Below are 1,326 nucleotides of genomic sequence, written 5' to 3'. Positions count from 1 at the left end.
CAGTACTAGCAGTAGTGATAGTAGTAGTAAGAATAATCATCGCATGTCCTAAGGGCTTTATGTACAAGATCTCACTGAATCCTCCCCACGGGTGAGTGAAAAACACTAGCTAGCATCACTCTCATTTTACTGATGAGAAAACTGAGGTTTGGAGAGCTTCCACACCATTTCTGCTGTGTTGAATCTTCCCGACAACTCTAAGAGGTAGGTCACCTATACAGAGGAGGAACCTGAACCCACAGAGATGTCAGTAGATTTAGCTAAGGTTACAGGGTGTGGTCTGAGAGCAGACCTGCCGGGTCCAGGGCCTCTGGCTTTCCCAGTGCTGAGGACTGGGGTCGGCCGCTGGGGTTGGGTCCGAGAGGGTGTACCTGGAAGGAAGCAAGAGGGGAGCTTCCTTCCCTCCTCTTCCACTGAGACCTGTGTGAGGCGTCACCAGGGGGAGCCAAAGGGCCCCAGGTCAGCCACTCTGGGCCCCTGACGACTGCCATCCTACTGGTTGGACCAGCTTCCCCACCGAGGCACAGACGTGGAGGTGGGCAGGACGGAGTAGGCAGTTGGATTCACTCTCAAGACCCTGTCAAATAGCCAAAGATTTGGCTTAAATCCTCCTTTGGCTTATTGTTCCTTTTTCCTGGAGCAATAAGAATGATCAGTTAAATGATGTCTGCCTTGTCTCTTTGTTCGTTCATTCACTAATTTAGCAATAATTTCTTAGGCCCCAACTAGGAGCTGTGGCCTCAGATATAGATCAGCTGCAAGCCCTGCCCTCGAGAACCCCCAGTCTAGGAGAAGACAGAGGTAAAACCCAGAGCGAGCCAAGCTCTGATGAGGTAACTCCAGGGGACTGCGGAAGCCCAGAGGAAGCCTCACACCCAGCTGGAGGCAGGGGTCAGGGTATGGGCAGAAGAGGAGGGGTGGGCCCTGTGAAGAAGGGAAACCAAGGGTGCTCCTGGCAGGGGAAAGGGTGCAGGCTCTGGGGTGTGAAAAATAGGACAGCTGTGGGGTTCCCTTTGCAGCAGTTTGGTGAGGCTAGGGACCGTTAGAAAGATGACAGAACATAAAGCTGAGTCATCCCTTACATCCCAAAGGGGTAAGAGATGACTTGTTTGCAACACAGAGAGCTCATAGGTCATTTGGAGGTGACAGGAGCCATAGTGTGCTCCCTGCCAAAGTCACTGTGCAATTCAGCAGCCTTCGGCCTCCACTATCCCAGCTTGGCATCCAGAGGTTCCAAGCCATCCCGTGCTGGAGGCCTGGCTATGGGTTCCCACCTGCCAGCCCACCGCAGTGCAAAACAGACTCATCCGTTTCTGCACGCAGCCC

The 1,326-nt window shown here is 53.3% G+C and overlaps 1 annotated feature.

Annotated features, from left to right (window-relative positions):
• Nucleotides 391-536: a silencer, noted in NCBI's record as "fragment chr22:43742520-43742665 (GRCh37/hg19 assembly coordinates)". NCBI's record gives its function as "represses an EF-1alpha promoter that drives an FKBP-Casp9 reporter gene in an ReSE screen in HepG2 liver carcinoma cells {active_cell/tissue: HepG2}" and the evidence as "EXISTENCE:reporter gene assay evidence [ECO:0000049][PMID:32094911]".

Source organism: Homo sapiens, chromosome 22, assembly GCF_000001405.40.
Source record: "Homo sapiens chromosome 22, GRCh38.p14 Primary Assembly".
In the NCBI taxonomy this organism is placed as follows: domain Eukaryota; kingdom Metazoa; phylum Chordata; class Mammalia; order Primates; family Hominidae; genus Homo; species Homo sapiens.
This window is presented reverse-complemented; position numbering and strand designations above follow the sequence as displayed.